The sequence below is a fragment of the Homo sapiens genome, chromosome 8 (assembly GCF_000001405.40).
Source record: "Homo sapiens chromosome 8, GRCh38.p14 Primary Assembly".
Lineage (NCBI taxonomy): Eukaryota > Metazoa > Chordata > Mammalia > Primates > Hominidae > Homo > Homo sapiens.
This window is the reverse complement of record NC_000008.11, coordinates 55,455,613-55,479,454: the sequence shown is the minus strand read 5'-3', so window position 1 is coordinate 55,479,454 and position 23,842 is coordinate 55,455,613. Positions and strand designations below refer to the sequence as shown.

Here is a 23,842-nt window from a genome sequence, read left to right as displayed (position 1 = left end):
ATCTTTCCTGCTTTCTGTTGTGGGCATTTAGTGCTATAAATTTCCCTCTACACACTGCTTTGATTGTGTCCCAGAGATTCTGGTATGTTGTGTCTTTGTTCTCGTTGGTTTCAAAGAACATCTTTATTTCTGCCTTCATTTTGTTATGTACCCAGAAGTCATTCAGGAGCAGGTTATTCAGTTTCCATGTAGTTGAGCAGTTTTGAGTGAGTTTCTTAATCCTGAGTTCTAGTTTGATTGCACTGTGGTCTGAGAGACAGTTTGTTATAATTTCTGTCTTTTATATTTGCTGAGGAGTGCTTTACTTCCAAGCATGTGATCACTTTTGGAATAGGTGTGGTGTGGTGCTGAAAAGAATGTATATTCTGTTGATTTGGGGTGGAGAGTTCTGTAGATGTCTATTAGGTCCGCGTGGTGCAGAGCTGAGTTCAATTCCTGGGTATCCTTGTTAACTTTCTGTTTAGTTGATCTGTCTAATGTTGACAGTGGGGTGTTAAAGTCTCCCATTATTATTGTGTGGGAGTCTAAGTCTCTTTGTATGTCACTAAGGACTTGCTTTATGAATCTGGGTGCTCCTGTATTGGGTGCATATATATTTAGGATAGTTAGCTCTTCTTGTTGAATTGATCCCTTTACCATTATGTAATGGCCTTCTTTGTCTCTTTTGATCTCTGTTGGTTTAAAGTCTGTTTTATCAGAGACTAGGATTGCAACCCCTGCCTTTTTTTGTTTTCCATTTGCTTGGTAGATCTTCCTCCATCCTTTTATTTTGAGCCTATGTGTGTCTCTGCACATGAGATGGTTTTCCTGAATACAGCACACTGATGGGTCTTGACTCTTTATCCAATTTGCCAGTCTGTGTCTTTTAATTGGAGCATTTAGCCCATTTACATTTAAAGTTAATATTGTTATGTGTGGAGTTGGTCCTGTCATTATGATGTTAGCTGGTTATTTTGCTCATTAGTTGATGCAGTTTCTTCCTAGCCTTGATGGTCTTTACATTTTGGCATGTTTTTGCAGTGGCTGGTACCGGTTGTTCCTTTCCATGTTTAGTGCTTCCTTCAGGAGCTCTTTTAGGGCAGGCCTGGTGGTGACAAAATCTCTCAGCATTTGCTTGTCTGTAAAGTATTTTATTTCTCCTTCACTTATGAAGCTTAGTTTGGCTGGATATGAAATTCTGGGTTGAAAATTCTTTTTTTAAGAATGTTGAATATTGGCCCCCACTCTCTTCTGGTTTGTAGAGTTTCTGCCAAGAGATCCGCTGTTAGTCTGATGGGCTTCCCTTTTTGGGTAACCCGGCCTTTCTCTCTGGCTGCCCTTAACATTTTTTCCTTCAACTTTGGTGAATCTGACAATTATGTGTCTTGGAGTTGCTCTTCTCGAGGAGTATCTTTGTGGCGTTCTCTGTATTTTCTGAATCTGAATGTTGACCTGCCTTGCTAGATTGGGGAAGTTCTCCTGGATAATATCCTGCATGGTGTTTCCCAACTTGGTTGCATTCTCCCCATCACTTTCAAGTAAACCAGTCAGACATAGATTTGGTCTTTTCACATAGTCCCTTATTTCTTGGAGGCTTTGTTTGTTTCTTTGTATTCTTTTTTCTCTAAACTTCCCTTCTCACTTCATTTCATTCATTTCATCTTCCGTCACTGATACCCTTTCTCCCAGTTGATCGCATCAGCTCCTGAGGCTTTTGCATTCTTCACGTAGTTCTCGAGCCTTGGCTTTCAGCTCCATCAGCTCCTTTAAGGACTCTCTGCGTTGGTTATCCTAGTTATCCATTCATCTAATTTTTTTTCACCGTTTTTAACTTCTTTGCCATTGGTTTGAATTTCCTCCTGTAGCTCGGAGTAGTTTGATCATCTGAAGCCTTCTTCTCTCATCTTGTCAAAGTCATTCTCCGTCCAGCTTTGTTCCATTGCTAGTGAGGAGCTGCATTCCTTTGGAGGAAGAGAGGCGCTCTGCTTTTTAGAGTTTCCAGTTTTTCTGCTCTGTTTTTTCCCCATCTTTGTGGTTTTATCTACTTTTGGTCTTTGTTGATGTTGACGTACAGAAGGGTTTTTGGTGTGGATGTACTTTCTGTTTGTTAGTTTTCCTTCTAACAGACAGGACCCTCAGCTGCAGGTCTGTTGGAGTTTGCTAGAGGTCCACTCCAGACCCTGTTTGCCTGGGTATCAGCAGTGGTGGCTGCAGAACAGTGGTGGCTGTAGGACAGCGGATCTTGGTGAACTGCAAATGCTGCTGCCTCGTTCCTCTGGAAGTTTTGTCTCAGAGGAGTATCCGGCTGTGTGAGGTGTCAGTCTGCCCCTACCAGGCAGTGCCTCCCAGTTAGGCTGCTCGGGGTCAGGGACCCACTTGAGGAGGAAGTCTGCCCATTCTCAGATCTCAAGCTGCGTGCTGGGAGAACCAATACTCTCTTCAAAGCTGTCAGACAGGGACATTTTTGTCTGCAGAGGTTACTGCTGTCTTTTTGTTTGTCTGTGCCCTGCCCCCAGAGGTGGACTCTACAGAGGCAGGCAGGCCTCCTTGAGCTGTGGTGGGCTCCACCCAGTTCGAGCTTCCCGGCTGCTTTGTTTACCTAATCAAGCCTGGGTAATGGCAGGTGCCCCTCCCCCAGCCTCGCTACCATCTTGCAGTTTGATCTCAGACTGCTGTGCTAGCAATCTGAGCAGACTCCATGGGCATAGGACCCTCTGAGCCAGGTGCGGGATATAATCTCCTGGTGTGTCATTTTTTAAGCCTGTTGGAAAAGCGCAGTATTAGGGTGGGAGTGACCTGATTTTCCAGGTGCCGTCTGTCACCCCTTTCTTTGACTAGGAAAGGGAACTCCCTGACCCCTTGCACTTCCTGAGTGAGGCAATGCCTCGCCCTGCTTCAGCTTGCTCAGTGTGCTGCACCCACTGTCTGGCACTCCCTAGTGAGATGAACCCAGTACTTCAGATGGAAATGCAGAAATCACCCATCTTCTGTGTCGCTCACGCTGGGAGCTGTAGATTGGAGCTGTTCCTATTCGGCCATCTTGGCTCAGATGTGTTTATTTCTAACATGCAATTTCACTGATTAAAACCATATCCGTTTCCTGCCTGAGTGGCATTTTGACCTCTGGGGGGAGCATTCTAGAATTCCTATCCCTTCCCAGGTACTGCTTCCTAAAGACAGTCAGGCGCCCTGTGAATTCTGATACTGGCTTTTCCTTCATGTCACACATGACTGGGTCTTGGGTTAGTGCATTAGGCAGTGGGCCTCATGTTGGGGTCCTTAGACTAACTCTATCCTTGGGAGAACTGTGAAAATGTACTTTCTGAGGCTCTACCTACTACCCACAGAATTAGACTGTCTGTGAGTGATCCCGATATCAGCATGTTTTTCAAGTACCCTAAGTGAACTAAGAGCTCATTATTTATGAGGTAGCCAGGTGCGGTGGCTAACACCTGTAATCCCAGCACTTTGGAAGGCTGAAGTGAATGGATCACTTGAGCCAAGGAGTTCAAGACCAGCCCAAGCAATTGGCAAAACCCTGTGTCTACAGAAAATTAGAAAAATAGTGAGTGTGAGGCTGGGTGTGGTGGCTCATGCCTGTAATCCCAGCACTTTGGGAGGCTGAGGAGGGTGGATCACAAGGTCAGGAGTTCAAGATCAGCCTGGCCAAGAAAGTGAAATCCTGTCTCTACTAAAAATACAAAAATTAGCTGGGCGTGGTGGTGTGCGCCTATAATCCCAGCTACTTGGGAGGCTGAGGTAGAGAACTGTTTGAACGTGGGAGGTGGAGGTTGCAGTGAGCCAAGATCATGCCACTGCACTCCAGCCTAGATAACAGAGTGAGACTCCATCTCAAATAAATAAATAAATAAATAAATAAATAAATAAATAAATAAGTGAGCATGGTGGTGCACACCTATAGTCCCAGCTATTCAGTAGGCTGAGGTAGGAGGATTGCTTGAGCTTGGGAGATTGAGGCTGCAGTGAGATCTGATCACACCATTGCTCTCCAGCCTGGATGACAGAGCAAGACCTTCCCCCATCACCCCAAATAGCCTAACAACAACAACAACAACAACAACAACAACAAAATAAGCAAAAAACATTTATGAATCGCTGGTCTGAAATAAGACAATCCACATTTTCAGGCATGGAATTCCCCTGTATGTTGTGTAATTTGGCTCACCTGCCCACAACCCTGGGCCATCACATATAGTGCGGCTATTATTCTACCTAACATTGCTCTCTGCATCTGGGTGCCATTTCACATTACTTTTGTATGAACTGATGGGGGCAGAGGTCACCACTTTACTCTCCATTTTATCAGCAGTCATTTCCCTTACCTACTGCCTTGGTATCCGTGTACTATTTAGTATCACTGACTATTTATTGTATTATTTTGCATGTATTTATAAGTTCTTAGGTTATTGTTTTTAGTTGTATAACATGTCAGTATATTTTGTCTCTCCAACAGGATTTAAACTCCTTGAAGACAGAGCGAATGACTTTGTTTCTTTAATATTCTGGAACAGTTCCTTGCTCAGGACTCTAAGGCCAGCAGGTGTTCATTAATGCATTTTAACAGACTGGTTTTCTGCATACAAACATTCAGTTTTAGAAGAACACTCTGATAATGTGGTGCCTGGGTGTCCAGATATAGATTACCTAATGAGATACGGGAATAAAGCATTGGGTGCATGGTTCCTCCAGCACTCTGTGTGAGGGAAAGGACCATTTTGGCAGAGCCTCATTAGCATCCATAGGGATTTGTGATTAATTAAAAATGTTAGTGATCATCAGTGCCTGAGAGTCAGGGGAGATGGATACTCAGCATCTGCTCCAATAATAACTTAAATGCCCCCAATTTTTGTCTATATTCTAATCATCTGAGTATCTATTTGTTCCAGGAGTATCTTAAAATACTAGATGACATTTCACTGAAGCCAATGAGTATTTCCTGAAAACTCAGAAACAGATTTTTCTAGAAAAATATTTATACTTTTTTCTTTTAAGATGGTAGACTTTGTGTGTATATGTGTGTGCACAGTGTGTATACAAATATGTAGAGAGTTAGAAAGGCTACCTGATTTTTAACTCTCTATAGAGAGAGCATACTCCAGGAATATGTGCTAATTGGTGCAAAGAATTTAGTCACAACTATAAAAATTCAATTCAGCCCAATATGTAAAGTTTTATGTCTTTGTGGTAACTGTCCATCAGTGATCAGTAAGTTAGTAAGTGTGCTTCTGTTGATAAGTCTGTTTTAGGCTAGGAATGGTGGCTGATGCCTGTAATCCCAGTGTGTTGAGAGACAGAGGTGGGAAGATCCCTTGAGCCAGGAGTTCAAGACCAGCCTGGGTAACATAGCGAGACCACGTCTCTATAAAAATAAAATTAAATAAAATCAGTTGGGTGTGGTGATGTGCTCCTATAGTCCTAGCTACTGGAGAGCCTGAGGCAGGAGATCACTGGAGCCCAGGTGTTGGAGGTTGCAATGAGCTATGATCGTGCCACTGCACTCTAGCCTGGATGACAGAACAATATCTCATTGAAAGAAAGAAGGAAAGACAGAGAGAGGGAGGGAGGGAAGGAGGGAGGAAGGTGGGGTGGGGAGAGAGACAGGAAGGAAGAAAAAGAAAAGAAAAGAAGGAAAGAAGGGAGGAAAGAAGGAAGGAAGGAAGGAAAGAGAATCTGTTGTAACTTTGGGTTTAAGTGAAATTTTACCAAAGTAAACCATTATAGCCAATATAAGATGTGTTTCACTACACTTGTTTATAGAAATGGTCCATATGCAAAGACATGGTTCTGAAGTTTCTTTTAGAACTAAGACAAGGATGTACTTTGGTGCCTCTGAGAAACTGGCACACTTATTCCTTTTTGAAAATAGGAACTGCATAATTGACAGTGTCTGCCTTTCTGTTTGGCTGCCAAAAACCTTAGAACAAAATTTAAAGCTCAGCTATACCAATTATGTGGAGATTTAGCAGCTGAATATCTATGTTACTTTATCAAGTTATCTTGACATTCTACTTATTATTTTTCAGATGCCCTGTACCTGAAATCCTTCATGGAAAAATGTGGAATGAATAAATTAGTAAAATAAATAAGATAGGGTTGTTGCTTTGTGACTTAGGAGGGGAGAAGATATTGGCTATCACAGAACCTCAATTTTCACCCACTAAACAAGAACAATAACACTTTCCTACTTCCTTCACAGGATGGGTGTGAGGATTAATTTAGGCCAGGTCAATTATAAGGAACTATACAGAAGGTATTTTTTGCAGAGAAGGTCCCAGCTTTAAAGCTGAAGCTATATTTACTCTAAGGATTTGGAGAGGTCACTAAAGTGTATGAGGCAGGCCAAGGAAGACTGGAGGAGAGAGTGGATTCTAGAAGGGAATCAATCCAATTGGGTGAATGGAGGACTAAGGTGAGCTCATTGTCCAGGACCAATGGATCAATATTAGTGGGTGGGGTAATCGTATTCATAGTATGCTAGCCCCTTTATGCCATACTTATGCTGAGGCCCTGGGTAGGGAAAGTATAAAAATTAGAAGACCTGTTTCACTAAAATCTCTGTAAGATGCCGAGAACATAAGACAACGCTTCTGTAACCAAGTAATAGTGCAAAGCATAAATCTACCTGTGGTGCCTCCGTTTCCTCACCCCCCATTATTCTTCAGAATACTCCAATCTTCTTGAGGTGATCAGCCAATTTATCCCTAATAATAGAAATGACTTTGAATAAAGTTCAGTGGTGACCTCAGAATAGCGAAATCCGAGGTTTCGTCTTACAAATCTCTCTGGAATATGACAGTGCGCATCACCTTGTCTACGAAGTGCTCCTCTCTGGAGTTGCAGGACCCCATCCCTCTCTCTGACCATTTTTCTCCCCCTTGTTGCTGGTTCCTCTGCTGCAGCCACACTCCAACACTCACTGAACTGGGGTCAGCCCTTAGACCTGGTCTCGTTTCCCTCTGTACACTTTAGGATTCTGGGTATCTTGTTTGACAAGTTATACATACTAATAATAGTCAGCATAACAATGCATGTTCATCACTTATTTTTAAAAATAGAACATATTCACATCTATCTGACTGAATTTGCATTTTGAAATGACTCCTTGAATCAGAGAGAAAAGGAACTAGCATGTGGAGAATTGTATCTAAGTCCAGATATACCCTTCATCCTTTACAGACACACAGATGATTATCATTTATGCAGGAAAAAAATTGAGAGCTACCTATCCCCTCCATTCCTAGCTAATCTACCATCTAATCCCAGTGACCCTAAAACTGTATCTTTATCCCAGAACTTTCTCCTGATTTCCAGGCTGACACTGAACAGGATCATGATACTCGAATGTCCCTTAGGAATTCAAACTCAAATTCATTATCATTTCCCTCTGAACATCTCTCTTTTATTCATCAACCCACCAGGAGTTATCCTAGATTTATTCTCCTGTATGCACCACTGTGTTTGTGTCTGTTCTCTCATTGCTATCAAGAAATACCTAAAGTTGGGTAATTTATAAAGAAAAGAGGTTTAATTGTCTCACAGTTCTGCAGGCTGTACAGGAAGTGTGGTGCCAGCATCTGCTTCTGGGGAGGCCTCAGGAAGTTTCCAGTCATGGCAGAAGGCAAAGGGAGAGCTGGCACATCACATTGCAAGAGCAGGAGCAAGAGGGGGTGGGGAAGGTCCCAGAACTCACTGAGCAAGAACTTACTCATCACCAAGGGGATGGTGTTAACCATTCATGAGGGATCTGCCCCATGATCCAATCACCTCCCACCAGGCCCCACCTCCAACACTGGGCATCACATTTCAGCATGAGATTTGGAGAGGACAAACATTCAAACCATATCATCCATGTTTGCATCTGGCCTCCAAATTGTCTATATTTCTGTACCATGCTTTACAGCTCTGTTCCTTCCTCTAAATCCATGGCCTTCACATGTTAGTGAACACCAGAATCCCTGGGAGGGCTTGGTACAACACAGATGGCCGGGCCCCAACTCCGAGTTTCAGATTCTGCATGGATGCGCACTTCTAACAAATTTCCACACCGTGCTGATGCTGCTGGTTGAGGGGAAAAGGGTGGGCAGTCACACTTTGGGAAACACAGGCTTAACTCATTGCTCTTAGTGCTTTATTTTGTCTCTAATCCTTTCCTACTTGTCCTAGGTAATAGTCTCTTTACTTTCCTCACCCCACCTCACAAAACTCTTTACTTTTCCTGTCTACCTGTACTGCCTGATAGAACTTTCTGTGAGGATGGAACTGTTCACATGTACTGTCCAACACAGCTGCCACCAGACACGTAGGTACTGAACACTTTAAATGTGGCTGCTGCCCTCAAGGACTGAATTCTCAATTATTAAATAGTTATTTAATTTTCAATGTGGCTAGTGGCTACTGTACTGGATGGTGCAACTCTATATTGTTGCCAGACCTTTCCAGGACAAAAGTCTATTCACATTTCTTCTTTATTTAAAATGTCCTGATGGTGCCACATTGTCTACAGACTCAAGGTGAGGATTATAGTGTGATTCATGTCTAGCTTTGAAATCAGGTGGACCTGAGTTTGAATCTTGGCTGAAATATTTAATAGCCATGTTGCTTTAGGTGAGTTAATCATTGATCCTCAGTTTCCTTGTCTGTCAAAGTAAATTACTTATTATAGTGATCATAGAAAGTGATCAGTAGGAAGGATCCATAAATTATAATGAGAAGCTGACACATACTCACTAATAATAATGATAATGATAGTTATTGTTCCAAACTTCTTTGTAAGACATGTAAGTCCCTTCACAACTGGGGGCTTGCCTTGCTTTAAAAAATTTGATTTTGATATATCTTGTGTATTAGTCTGTTTTCACACTGCTGATAAAGACATACCTGAGACTTGGCAACGTAAGAAGAAAGAGGTTTAATGGACTCCCACTTCCACATGAGTGGGGAGGCCTCACAATCATGGTGACATGTCTCACGTGGCGGCAGACAAGAGAAGAGAATGAGAGCCAAGTGAAAGGGGTTTCCACTTATAAAACCATCAGATCTTGTGAGACTTATTCACTACCATGAGAACAGTATGGGGGAAATTGCTCCCATGATTCATTTATCTCCCATTGGGTCCCTCCCACAACATGAGGGAATTATGAGAGCTACAATTAAAGATGAGATTTGGGTGGGGACACAGCCAAAAACCATATCACCTCGTCTTGTACCTTAACTTCTAGAATTCTAAATTGTTTGCATTTCCCCCCAATATTATTATCTGACGCATGCTTCTGTGCCTTCGGTAATAATGGTTCCTTGCTAGTCCACCCTTGTGAACATTACTTATCTTTTTATATTAAGCCGATAGGGTTACTTTATCTATGAAAACCTTTACTTTCCCCCATTACATCAGATAGAGCTGAGTACCTCCTCCTTTGTGTCTACAATGCACCATTTCTATCATGGCACTTCTTATTGCACTTATTTGTCCATGTGTAATTCCTTCTCCAAGACTGCATTCCTAGAAAGCGGGGCCATTTTAAATATTTCACCTCTTAGGACCCAGTACATGATACATTGCAGGCACTTAAAACCTGTTTGTTGAGTGAATGATTGACCAGGTCCTGTTAAAGGGCAGAGTTCGGTAGTTTCCTGAGCAATAGAAAACCATTCAAATCTTTAGTACAAGATTTGTTCCTAGTTAGCTCATAGCTTATAGTCAGGCTACTGGCTTCCCTGATCCTTAGAAGTTGGAGATTGGAATAGAGCCTCCCAAGATTCCGTACAGCTCTAACACACTCTATCCTCATTGTCTTCTACATAGATTTTTAATTTTTTTTAAGTTCTGCTATATTATGCTAACATGGAATATATTATTTTGGCACCAATGAAAATATTGTTTCTTGGAAGTAGGATACAGATTTAAAGTGATTACTTGTTATTTTTTGTTTGTTTTAGCTAAAGTCAATATCCCAACATTTACAGAAACTTTAAACACTGAAAATAGAAATTCAAAATCAACCCTAAAAGGCAGGAAATGGCAAAATATAGTGTGTAATGAGGAAATATTAATAGCAAGGATCTTGGGAGGCTAAGACACTGGGCATAAGCATGGGGAAGACAAAAAGAAGTGTGAAAAGCCAGACTGAGACATATTGTAGAGGGGTTTCATTGCCATTGTTCTTAATCTAACAAAAAATAGGGAACCATAGGAATGTCAACCTGGCTACAGTGTTGTGGAGTTACCGTATCAGGAAAGTTGAAGAAGATAAAGAATTTTCAACATTGAGTCCTGGAGGGACACACTGCAGCTCAGAACTAATGTGTTTGGAGGAATTGGAAAAAGGCAGGGAGACAGATGTTGCAGTTGAGAAATATTCTGTCCTTAGATACTGATTAGCTATGGGGCGAGGGAAGGATGATGAAAAATTATTCCTTTTTTCATGCCTGCATACCAAGGACTGTGGTACAAATCCAATAAATATGGAAACCAAGTAGTTCGAGAGGGATAGCAAGAGTTTGGTTTTGAATATTTGACTTGGAAGTGACAATGGAATGTTTTACAAGAATGCATAGTCAGAATCTGAAAATGAAAAGAGGAAAAACCTTGAAGGCAAGATTTTAGACTGGGAATTTGAAAAGGGCAAAGAAAGAATATAAGCAGAAAACCTCAAGTCAAACATCAAGACGAATCAGAGTGTTAGATTTCACTGGACCTTAGAGATCAGCTTGTTTCACTTTTTCGTTTTATAGATGAGGACATTTAATGCCTGAGACTTCAAGGAAGGTTTAAGAAACTTATATCCTTATATTATGATTCATTCATCTATAAAAAAGGAGAGATTTGAACCAACTTTTTAATAGATATAAAGTGATTTTGTTTCTGTCACAGAAATATTTCATCATTATTTTTTAATACAGCAGGGAGAAGAGATCTTGCCTAAAAGGCATACTTTCTTGATTATCCAATGTATTTTTTTTAAATAAGACATGTTTTAGGTCCCATATTAAGAAAAAAAATTAGATATAACATGGAAATAGTGCTCAGAGATGGGGATAAAACTCAAGATTAAAACTAAATACTCTAGAAAAAGTTGGCTTCATACTTCTGTCTGTTTTCAAATACTCAGAGCTGTAAACTGACAGTCCAAGACAAGAAATGAAAAAAATAATTGAAGTTGACACGCTGCGTCCTGAAAGCTAACAGAATGATGTGGTATATTTCCCACGACCAAGTCATTTAGAGGAATGATACATTCATCTCTCTGGCTGGATACCTTAGGTTAAGAATTGGTTTACATAACAATCAGAAGATGGATGGGCAATGCATTATGAGAAACATCTTTGTACAAGATTTCCCACTCTATAGTTCCTGTCTTCTGTGATGGAAACTGGAAATCCTATTTGATTTATATGGTTCTCTCTTTTTAGAAATAAACAGTGCAAAAATATGTTAAAGCATAAAAAAGAAACCATAAATGTTAATAGATCTGATTATGAAAGTTAAAAATTTTTACATGGCATAAGTCTCTGTAACCCAATTTTTAAGACACTGAAAGAAAATACTATAGAAACCATAAATAGTTAATATTCTGAATATTCAACATGAGGTTATTAAAAAACAAGTAACAGATAATTACCCTTAGAGGAAAACAACCACATAAATGGACTGGTCATTTGCAAAAGAAAAGCAAAACTTGCCAAAGGCCATAATAATCTTACTATTAATCAAAGAATTCAATACTTGTTCTCTCACTGTCACAATCTTTGCCCAGTGGTTCCAAGCCAACAACATTTGCCTGTCTTTGGCAAAGATTAAGCATAATGATAATACCCAGTGTTGGGGAAATTAGCACTTTACCGGTGGAGTATAAACGTTCTTCAGAAAATCTGGCAATTTAAATCATAAATCTTAATAAATTTGCAAATTCTTTGTGGGAGGGAGATTTCTAAGATGGCCCCCAGTCCCAACCCTCGCCAACTCCCAACTCAGTAAACACACATGTGCAATCCACTCCCCTTGAGTGAGGGAGAGACTGTGGATATGAAGGGATAGCACTCCTGTGCTTGTGTTACAGAATATGGCAAAGGTTAAGAGATTTTGCAAATGTAATGAAAGTGCCTAATCATTTGACTTTGAGTTAACCAAAAGGAAGATTATCCTCAGTGGGGCTGGTCTAACCAAATGAGCTCTTTAAAAAAGAGTCTGGAGGCAAGTGACACCAAGCAGGAACAGATGCTGTCCTGTTGGCCTTGGAGACACACATTTTCCTATTGTGGAGATGGCTACAAGGCAGAGAATGGTGACTGAGCTCTAGGAGCTGACAGTTCTGTACCCACAGGGACCTGCATTCTGCCAGCCACAGGGAGCTTGGGAAGGACCCTGTGCCCAGATGAGATTGCAGCCCTGGCTGACACCTTGAATGCAGCCTTGTGAGACACAGAGTGGAAAACCCAGCCAAGCCCTGACTAGGTCCCTGACCCACAGAAACTGTGAGGTCACAAACATGTGTTGTTTTAAGCTGCTGAGTCTGTGGTAATTTGTTTTGCAAAATCAAAAACTAATAAATTTTTTAATCAAATAACTTAGCCCAATCTTGAGAATTTATCCTGAGGTATTAATCAGATATCCAAACAAAAAATAAATGTATAAGGATGTTTATTTTAGAATCACTTACTGATAAAAGACCAGAAACAACCTAAAACTCCAATCATAGTGGATTGATTCAACTCATTCTGATACATCATATATTACATGGAAAGAGTTAAACCAAAGTGGCAACTGATTATATGGATAGTAAGATGGTAAAGAAATGTGCTTATCCATATATATTTTTTTAATTATACTTTTAAGTTTTAGGGTACATGTGCACAATGTGCAGGTTTGTTACATATGTATACATGTGCCATGTTGGTGTGCTGCACTCATTAACTTGTCATTTAGCATTAGGTATATCACCTAATGCTATCCCTTCCCCCTCCCCCCACTCCATAACAGTCCCCGGTGTGAGATGTTCACCTTCCTGTGTCCATGTGTTCTCATTGTTCAATTCCCACCTATGAGTGAGAACACGAGGTGTTTGGTTTTTAGTCCTTGCAATAGTTTGCTGAGAATGATGGTTTCCAGCTTCATCCATGTCCCTACAAAGGACATGAACTCATCATTTTTTATGGCTGCATAGTATTCCAGGGTGTATGTGCCACATTTTCTTCATCCAGTCTATCATTGATGGACATTTGGGTTGGTTCAAAGTCTTTGCTATTGTGAATAGTGCCGCAATAAACATACATATGCATGTGTCTTTATAGCAGCATGATTTATAATCCTTTGGGTATATACCCAGTAATGAGATGGCTGGGTCAAATGGTATTTCTAGTTCTAGATCCCTGAGGAATCGCCACACTGACTTCCACAATGGTTGAACTAGTTTACAGTCCCACCAACAGTGGAAAAGTGTTCCTATTTCTCCACATCCTCTCCAGCACCTGTTGTTTCCTGACTTTTTAATGATCACCATTCTAACTGGTGTGAGATGGTATCTCATTGTGGTTTTGATTTGCATTTCTCTGATGGCCAGTGATGATGAGCATTTTTTCATGTGTCTTTTGGCTGCATAAATGTTTTCTTTTGAGAAGTGTCTGTTCATATCCTTTGCCCACTTTTTGATGGGGTTGTTTGTTTTTTTCTTGTAAATTTGTTTGAGTTCATTGTAGATTCTGGATATTAGCCCTTTGTCAGATGAGTAGGTTGCAAAAATTTCCTCCCATTCTGTAGGTTGCCTGTTCACTCTGATGGTGGTTTCTTTTGCTGTGCAGAAGCTCTTTAGTTTAATTAGATCCCATTTGTCAATTTTGGCTTTTGTTGCCATTGCTTTTGGTGTTTTAGACATGAAGTCCTTGCCCATGCCTATGTCCTGAATGGTATTGCCTAGGTTTTCTTCTAGGGTTTTTATGGTTTTAGGTCTAACATTTAAGTCTTTAATCCATCTTGAGTTAATTTTTGTATAAGGTGTAAGGAAGGGATCCAGTTTCAGCTTTCTACATATGGCTAGCCAGTTTTTCCAGCACCATTTATTAAATAGGGAATCCTTTCCCCATTGCTTGTTTTTCTCAGGTTTTTCAAAGATCAGATGGTTGTAGATATGCGGCATTATTTCTGGGACTCTGTTATGTTCCTTTGGTCTATATCTCTGTTTTGGTACCAGTACCATGCTGTTTTGGTTACTGTAGCCTTGTAGTATAGTTTGAAGTCAGGTAGCATGATGCCTCTAGCTTTGTTCTTTTGGCTTAGGATTGACTTGGCAATGCAGGCTTCTTTTTGGTTCCATATGAACTTTAAAGTAGTTTTTTCCAATTCTGTGAAGAAAGTCATTGGTAGCTTGATGGGGATGGCACTGAAACTATAAATTACCTTGGGCAGTATGGCCATTTTCATGTTATTGATTCTTCCTACCCATGAGCATGGAATGTTCTTCCATTTGTTTGTATCCTCTTTTATTTCACTGAGCAGTGGTTTGTAGTTCTCCTTGAAGAGGTCCTTCACATCCCTTGTAAGTTGGATTCCTAGGTATTTTATTCTCTTTGAAGCAATTGTGAATGGGAGTTCACTCATGATTTGGCTCTCTGTTTGTCTGTTTTTGGTGTATAAGAATGCTTTTGATTTTTGTACATTGATTTTGTATCCTGAGACTTTGCTGAAGTTGCTTATCAGCTTAAGGAGATTTTGGGCTGAGAAAATGGGGTTTTCTAAATATACAATCATGTCATCTGCAAACAGGGACAATTTGACTTCCTCTTTTCCTAATTGAATACCCTTTATTTCCTTCTCCTGCCTGATTGCCCTGGCCTGAACTTCCAGCACCATGTTGAATAGGAGTAGTGAGAGAGGGCATCCCTGTCTTGTGCCAGTTTTCAAAGGCACAAGTTTCAATGCTTCCAGTTTTTGCCCATTCAGTATGATATTGGCTGTGGGTTTGTCATAGATAGCTCTTATTATTTTGAGATACGTCCCATCAATACATAATTTATTGAGAGTTTTTAGCATGAAGCGTTATTGAATTTTGTGAAAGGCGTTTTCTGCATCTATTGAGATAATCATGTGGTTTTTGTCTTTGGTTCTGTTTATATGCTGGATTACGTTTATTGATTTGTGTATGTTGAACCAGCCTTGCATCCCAGGGATGAAGCCCACTTGATCATGGTGGATAAGCTTTTTGATGTGTTGCTGGATTTGGTTTGTCAGTATTTTATTGAGGATTTTTGCATCAATGTTCATCAAGGATATTGGTCTAAAATTCTCTTTTTTTGTTGTGTCTCTGCCAGGCTTTGGTATCAGGATGATCCTGGCCACATAAAATGAGTTAGGGAGGATTCCCTCTTTTTCTATAGATTGGAATAGTTTCAGAAGGAATGGTACCATCTTCTCATTGTATCTCTGGTAGAATTTTGCTGTGAATCCATCTGGTCCTGGACTTTTTTTGGTTGGTAAGCTATTAATTATTGCCTCAATTTCAGAGCCTGTTATTGGTCTATTCAGAGATTCAACTTCCTCCTGGTTTAGTCTTGGGAGAGTGTATGTGTCGAGGAATTTATCCATTTCTTCTAGATTTTCTAGTTTATTTGTGTAGAGGTGTTTATAGTATTCTCTGATGGTAGTTTGTATTTCTGTGGGATTGGTGGTGATATCCCCTTTATCATTTTTTATTGCGTCTATTTGATTCTTCTCTCTTTTCTTCTTTATTAGTCTTGCTAGCGGTCTATCAATTTTGTTGATCTTTTCAAAAAACCAGCTCCTGGATTCATTGATTTTTTGAACAGTTTTTTATTTCTCTATTTCCTTCAGTTCTGCTCTGATATTAGTTATTTCTTGCCTTCTGCTAGCTTTTGAACGTGTTTGCTCTTGCTTCTCTAGTTCTTTTAATTGTGATGTTAGGGTGTCAATTTTCGATCTTTCCTACTTTCTCTTGTGGGCATTTAGTGCTATAAATTTCCCTCTACACACTGCTTTGAATGTGTCCCAGAGATTCTGGTATGTTGTGTCTTTGTTCTCGTTGGTTTCAAAGAACATCTTTATTTCTGCCTTCATTTCGTTATGTACCCCGTAGTCATTCAGGAGCAGGTTGTTCAGTTTCCATGTAGTTGAGCAGTTTTGAGTGAGTTTCTTAATCCTGAGTTCCAGTTTGATTGCACTATGGTCTGAGAGACAGTTGGTTATAATTTGTGTTCTTTTACATTTGCTGAGGAGTGCTTTACTTCCAACTATGTGGTCAATTTTGGAATAGGTGTGGTGTAGTGCTGAAAAGAATGTATATTCTGTTGATTTGGGGTGGAGAGTTCTGTAGATGTCTATTAGGTCTGCTTGGTGTAGAGCTGAGTTCAATTCCTGGATATCCTCATTAACTTTCTGTCTCGTTGATCTGTCTAATGTTGACAGTGGGGTGTTAAAGTCTCGCATTATTATAGTGTGGGAGTGTAAGTCTCTTTGTAGGTCACTAAGGACTTGCTTTATGAATCTGGGTGCTCCTGTATTGGGTGCATATATATTTAGGATAGTTAGTTCTTCTTTTTGAATTGATCCCTTTACCATTATGTAATGGCCTTCTTTGTCTCTTTTGATCTTTGTTGGTTTAAAGTCTGTTTTACCTGAGACTAGGATTGCAACCCCTGCCTTTTTTTGTTTTCCATTTACTTGGTAGATCTTCCTCCATGCCTTTATTTTGAGCCTATGTGTGTCTCTGCACGTGAGATGGGTTTCCTGAATACAGCACACCGATGGGTCTTGACTCTTTACCCAATTTGCCAGTCTGTGGCTTTTAATTGGAGCATTTAGCCCATTTACATTTAAGGTTAGTATTGTTATGTGTGAATTTGATCCCGTCATTATGATGTTAGCTGGTTATTTTGCTCGTTAGTTGATGCAGTTTCTTCCTAGCCTTGATGGTCTTTACAATTTGGCATATTTTTGCAGTGGCTGGTACCGGTTGTTCCTTTCCATGTTTAATGCTTCCTTCAGGAGCTCTTTTAGGGCAGGCCTGGTGGTGACAAAATCTCTCAGCATTTGCTTGTCTGTAAAGTATTTTATTTCTCCTTCACTTATGAAGCTTAGTTTGGCTGGATATGAAATTCTGGGTTGAAAATTCTTTTCTTTAAGAATGTTGAATATTGGCCCCCACTCTCTTCTGGTTTGTAGAGTTTCTGCCAAGCTATCAGCTGTTAGTCTGATGGGCTTCCCTTTGTGGGTAACCCGACCTTTCTCTCTGGCTGCCCTTAACATTTTTTCCTTCATTTCAACTTTGGTGAATCTGACAATTATGTGTCTTGGAGTTGCTCTTCTCGAGGAGTATCTTTGTGACATTCTCTGTATTTTCTGAATTTGAATGTTGACCTGCCTTGCTAGATTGGGGAAGTTCTCCTGGATAATATTCTGCAGAGTGTTTTCCAACTTGGTTCCATTCTCCCCGTCACTTTCAGGTACACCAAGTAGATGTAGATTAGGTCTTTTGACATAGTCCCATATTTCTTGGAGGCTTTGTTTGTTTCTTTGTATTCTTTTTTCTCTAAACTTCTCTTCATGCTTCATATCATTCATTTCATCTTCCATCACTGATACCCTTTCTTTCAGTTGATCGCATCAGTTACTGAGGCTTGTGCATTCGTCACATAGTTCTCGTGCCTTGGTTTTCAGCTCCATCAGGTCCTTGAAGGACTTCTCTGCATTGGTTATTCTAGTTATCCATTCGTCTAATTTTTTTCAAAGTTTTTAACTTATTTGCCATTTGTTCGAACTTCCTCCTTTAGCTCAGAGTAGTTTGATGTTCTGAAGCCTTCCTCTCTCAACTCATCAAAATCATTCTCTGTCCAGCTTTGTTCCGTTGCTGGTGAGGAGCTGTGTTCCTTTGGAGAAGGAGAGGCACTCTGATTTTTAGAGTTTCTGGTTTTTCTGCTCTGTTTTTTCCCCCATCTTTGTGGTTTTATCTACCTTTGGTCTTTTATGATAGTGATGTACAGTTGGGTTTTTGGTGTGGATGTCCTTTCTGTTTGTTAGTTTTCCTTCTAACAGTCAGGACCCTCAGCTGCAGGTCTGTTGCAGTTTACTGGAGGTCCACTCCAGACCCTGTTTGCCTGGGTATCAGCAGCGAAGGCTGCAGAACAGTAGATATTGGTGAATTGCAAATGCTGCTGCCTGATCGTTCCTCTGGAAGTTTTGTCTCACAGGAGTACCTGGCTTTGTGAGGTGTCAGTCCGCCCCTACTGGGGGGTGCCTTCCAGTTAGGCTACTCCGGGTTCAGGGACCCACTTGAGGAGGCAGGCTGCCCGTTCTCAGATCTCAAGCTGCGTGCTGAGAGAACCACTACTCTCTTCAAAGCAGTCAGACAGGGACATTTAAGTCTGCAGAGGTTATTGCTGTCTTTTGTTTGTCTGTGCCCTGTCCCAGAGGTGGAGCCTACAGAGGCAGGCCTCCTTGAGCTGTGGTGGGCTCACCCAGTTCAAGCTTCCAGGCCACTTTGTTTACCTACTCAAGCCTGAGCAATGGCGGGTGCCCCTCCCCCAGCCTCGCTGCCACCTTGCAGTTTGATTTCAGACTGCTGTGCTAGCAATGAGCAAGGCTCTGTGGGCGTAGGAACCTCCAAGCCATGTGAGGGATATAATTTCCTGGTGTGCCGTTTGATAAGCCCATTGGAAAAACACAGTATTAGGGTGGGAGTGACCCGATTTTCCAGGTGCCATCTGTCACCCCTTTCTTTGACTAGGAAAGGGAATTCCCTGACCCCTTGTGCTTCCCGGGTGAGGCGATGCCTCACCCTGCTTCGGCTCATGCTTGGTGCGCTGCGCCCACTGTCCTGCACCCACTGTCTGGCACTCCCTAGTGAGATGAACCCGATACCTCAGTTGGAAATGCAGAAATCATCCATCTTCTGTGTCACTCATGCTGGGAGCTGTAGACTGAAGCTGTTCCTATTCAGCCATCTTGGCTCCACCCTCCCATACTTTTTGTTTTTATTTTCTTTGATAAATATCTATTGGTTTCTAAAACAGCCTTATTGATGCATAATTTAAAGCCATAATATCCACTTGTTTTAAGCATATGGTTCAATGATTTTGAGCAAATTTATTCAGTGGCACAACCAGTGTCATAATCCGATTTGAGAATATTCTATCACTCCAAAATCCCTCATGCCTGTTTGCAGTCAATTCTCACTCCCATCCCATTTCAGATAGCCACTGATCTGCTTTCTGTTACTGTGGTTTTGCCTTTTTTATTATTTAGAATTTTAGAATTGGAATAATACAATAGGTAGTCTTTGCGTACGGTTTCCTTTATTTGCCAGATTTTTGAGGTTCATTTTATTGTTGTATCTATCAGTTGTTATTCTTTTGTATTGCTGAATAGTATCCAGTTGTATAAATATACTATATTTTGTTTATGCATTCACCAGTTGATGGACATTTGGTTTTTTTTTTTTTCAGCATTTGGCTATTATGAATAATTCTGCTAGAAATATTTGTGGACAAAACTGTGTGTAGACATATTTCATTTCTCTTGAGAAGTTACCTGGGAATGGAATTAGTGGGTCATACATTAATATTATTAATATTTAACTTTAAAAAACCCCATCAAACTGTTTTCTAAAGTGACTGTACCATTTTACTTCATCACTAGCAATGGCTAAGAGTTCTAGTTTCTTCACATTCATGCCAACACCTGGTATTGTCAATCTTTTTTATTGCAGTCATTATAGTGGGTGTGCGCTTTTAATTTACTTTTCCCTAGTTACTAAAAGATGTTTAGTATCTTTTCATGAGCTTGTGAGCAATTTCTGTGTATGTGTTTTTGGTTTTTTTTAGTGAAATGTCTGTTCAAACATTTTATCTATTTTTATTGAATTGTTTGTTATATTATTGAGTTGTAAGAGTTATTGATATATTCTGGACACAAGTCCTTTATTAGATATGTTATTTTCAAATATCTTATTTCAGTCTATGGTTTTCTTTATTTTTCTAAAGTTGGCATTTGAAAAGCAGATTTTTAAAATTTTTATGAAGTTCAATTTCCAATTATATTATTTAATGAGTCACACTTTTGGTATCCAATCAAGTAAAATTTTGCCTAAATTAAGGCCAGAAAGATTTTCTTCTATGTTTTATTCTAAAGTTTTATAGTTTTAGCTCTTACTTACATTTAGGTCTATGTTCTATTTTGGAGTAGTTTTTATGTCTAATATAAGCCAAGGGTTTATGATCATTTTTTTTCTCATGAATATTTAATTGTTTTAGCATCATTTGTTGAAATTACTCTCCTTTTCTAATGAATTGTCTTGGCCTCTTTGTTAAAACTCAATTGACCATAAAGGTAAGAGTTTATTTCTGGACTCTATATTCTGTTCCTTTGATTTATTTCTCTGTCTTTATTACTCCAATATCATTACACTCTTGATTACTGTAGCTTTATGGTTAGTATCAAAATTAGTCAGTGTGATATGAGTAGGAGGTACTAGGTAGAAAAGGGTGGGGTCGCTGGTGAGGTCTCCCCCTCAAGCCTGGACCTGTGACCCAAAGTGAGAATGTGCATTTCTGTTTTCCCCCTTGAATGTTGCCTTTTCCAAAACCACCCTGGCCTGCCCTGCTCCCCATCCTGCACCCATATAAACCCTAGGCTCCACTGGCAGAGGGGCAAAGCAGTGCAGCAGAAAAGGAGAGAAGAGAAGCAGCAGCTTGATGTCAGTGAGAAGCAGCTTGACTTCAGAGGGACAGCTTGACAGTAGGACCTCAGAGAAGAGTTTGTCTGGGGACATTCCCGGCTGAACGCCAGGGGAAGACCACTTTCCCACTCCATTCCCTTTCCAGCTCCCCATCCCACTGAGAGCCACTTTCATTGGCAATAAAATCTTCTGCATTTACCATCCTTCAATTCATTCATGCAACCTGACTCCTCCTGGATGCTGGACAAGGTCCCAGGTGTGGGTGCAAAAGGCTGTCACAGTGGCCCTCCACTGAGCTGTCTAATACTTAAGCCATCCACGGATAGCAAAACTAAAAGGGCATACTGTAACTCCAGGGGTCATGGGTAACTCCTAGACACTGCCACGGGACCATATGGAGTTCTGCTCCTGCTGGTTGCCCAGAAGCACTCATCCTAGCCTCTGCACCTGCTCACCTGCATGCTTCCCCTCCCATGAGGGGTTGAGACCTGTGGGCTGAGTAAACAAGCCAACCCCTTCACAAGACTCATGAAGGGGTCAAGGGAACTATCTCATTTCAAATATACATTTACCAAATTTGTATTTCTTATTCAAAACTGTTTAGGCTATTCTAAGTATTTTGCATTGCCAAATAATTTTTTTTTGGATTGGCTTGTCTATGTCTATGAAAAAATGCTCCTGGAATTTTCGTATGGATTGAGTTTCAGCTGTAGATCAATCTGGGGAGGACTGTCATATTAACAATAATGTTTTTCAATCAGTGAGCATGGTATATCTCCTTTCATTTAGATCTTTAAATTTCTCACAGTAACGTTTTATGGTTTTTTTGTGTGTAGTTCTACCTCAGGTTAATGCTAACATAATTCCAGTAAAATACAGCAACTTTAATATAATTCCATTTCTTTCCTCTTTTTTGATTATTACCGTCATAAATAAATACACACACATATCCATAAACCTAACTGTGTGTGTATGAATATGTAAAACTTTAACAATAAAGTTTTATAATAATTGTTTAAAATGTCTATTTTCAAAAGGAAAGTAAGTGGAAAAGGGGGTCTTTCAATCTACCTACATTTTATCACTTCCAGTGCTCTTCATTTCTCCCCGTGAACTTTAGTTTCTGTCTGGGAATGTTTTATTAAGCCTAAGCTGCTGGGAATATTTTGTTAAGCCTAAAGTTCTTCCTTTAGTGCTGCTTCTAGGTCAAATCTTCTAGTAATGCATTTTCTCAGTTTTCATTTACTTGGAAATGTGTTTATTTTGCTTTTATTTTTTGGGGAATAGTTTTGATGGACACAGAATTCTTGGTTGACAGTTAAAAATATTCAGCAAAGCCAGGCACGGTGGCTCACGCCTATAATCCCAGCACTTTGGGAGGCCAAAGCGGGCAGATCACAAGGTCAGGAGATTGAGACCATCCTGCCTAACATGGTGAAACCCCATCTCTACTAAAAATACAAAAAATTAGCTGGGCGTGGTGGTGGGCGCCTGTAGTCCCAGCTATTCAGGAGGCTGAGGCAGGAGAATGGCGTGAACCTGCGAGGCAGAACTTGCAATGAGCAGAGATCGTGCCACTGCACTCCAGTCTGGGTGACAGAGCAAGACTCAGTCTCAAAAAAAAAAAAAAGAAAAGGAAAAAAAATTCAGCACTTGAATATGTCATTTTACTGCTTCCTGGTCTTCACTGTTTATAATGATAAGTCAGCTATTAATCATATTTTTTTCCATATCTGATGAGTCATTTTTTTCTTTTTTCAAGATTTTCTCTTTGTATTTCTATTTCAGTCATTGATTATGATGTGTCTAGGTGTGAATTCTGATATGTTTATCCTATTTGAGGTTTGTGGAGCTTTTAATATTTGTAGACAGCCTTTCATCAAATTTTGGAGGATTTTATCTATTATTTTTTCACATAAATTATTTTCCCCTTCCCTTCTCTTTTTTACTTCTGAGACCCTTATTTCACATATGTTGGTAGGCTTAACATTGCCCTACATGCCTTTGATGCTATGTTTATTCAAAAAAAATTGTCTGTACTTTTCAGATTGAGATATTTCTACTGAACTATATTTCAGTTTACTGCTTCTTTCTCCCCTCATCTCAAATTTGCTGTTGATATAACAAGCAAAATCTTCATATTGAAAATACTTTTCAACTCTGGAATTTCTATTTGGTTCTTTTTCACTTCCAATATTTGGGTTCTATTTCTCTCTAAAGATTATTTATGGAATCATAGACATCATGCGTTTCATTAATTATTTGTTTGCCACATATATCATCTAGGTCTACTCTGAGTCAATTTCTTTTTTTCTTTTTCTTTCTTTCTTCTTTTTTTTCTTTTCAAGACAGAGTTTCGCTCTTGTTGCCCAGGCTGGAGTACAATGGCGCAACCTCAGCTCACCGCAACCTCTGCCCGCTGGGTTCAAGTGATTCTCCTGCCTCAGCCTCTCCAGTAGCTGGGATGACAAGCACATGCCACCAAGCCAGGCTAATTTTGTATTTTTAGTAGAGACAGGGTTTCTCCATGTTGGTCAGGCTGGTCTCGAAATCCCTACCTCAGGTGATCCGCCCGCCTTGGCCTTCCAAAGTGCTGGGATTACAGGTGTGAGCCACTGCACCCAGCTGCTACTCTGAGTCAATCTCTATTGATTCCTTTTTTTCCTGAGTATGGATCACACTTTCCTAATTATTTGCATGCTTAGTAATTGTTTTGCCCCAAAATGGAAATTTTAGATAATATATTATGGCAACTCTGAATTCTGACTAATTTTTCTGAGGATGTTGTTGTTGATTAAGTAATTTCCATAGATTTAAACTGTATAATCTTTCTTCCCCATGACATGTAGCTATTGAGGTTGTCCCTTTGTCTGCATAACTCAGAGATCAGTCAAGATTTGGCCAGATTTTTCTCAAGCACCTTGAACCCATAAAGCTCCTACCTCCTGATGACTGATCTTTGTGTGGGTCAGGAAGCACATTCAGAGTCCTCCCATTCTCAAGTCTGCCATGGCCTTACTTTCCCACCTGGCTTTCTTGAGTCTCACCTGCACAAATGCATTGGTTATCTGCAGGCCAGAAATGTGTGGTGATCTTATCTAATCCTACTGTGGTTGTATCATATCCAGGATCTCGCTATTCAATTTCTTATTGGTCTACCACTT

The 23,842-nt window shown here is 40.2% G+C and overlaps 1 protein-coding gene across 1 annotated transcript in view; it reads right to left on the bottom strand.

Moving 5' to 3' along the window:
- The window catches only part of XKR4 (XK related 4), a 440,027-nt gene that overhangs the window by 62,600 nt on the left and 353,585 nt on the right, over positions 1 to 23,842 (bottom strand). The window lies entirely within an intron of this gene.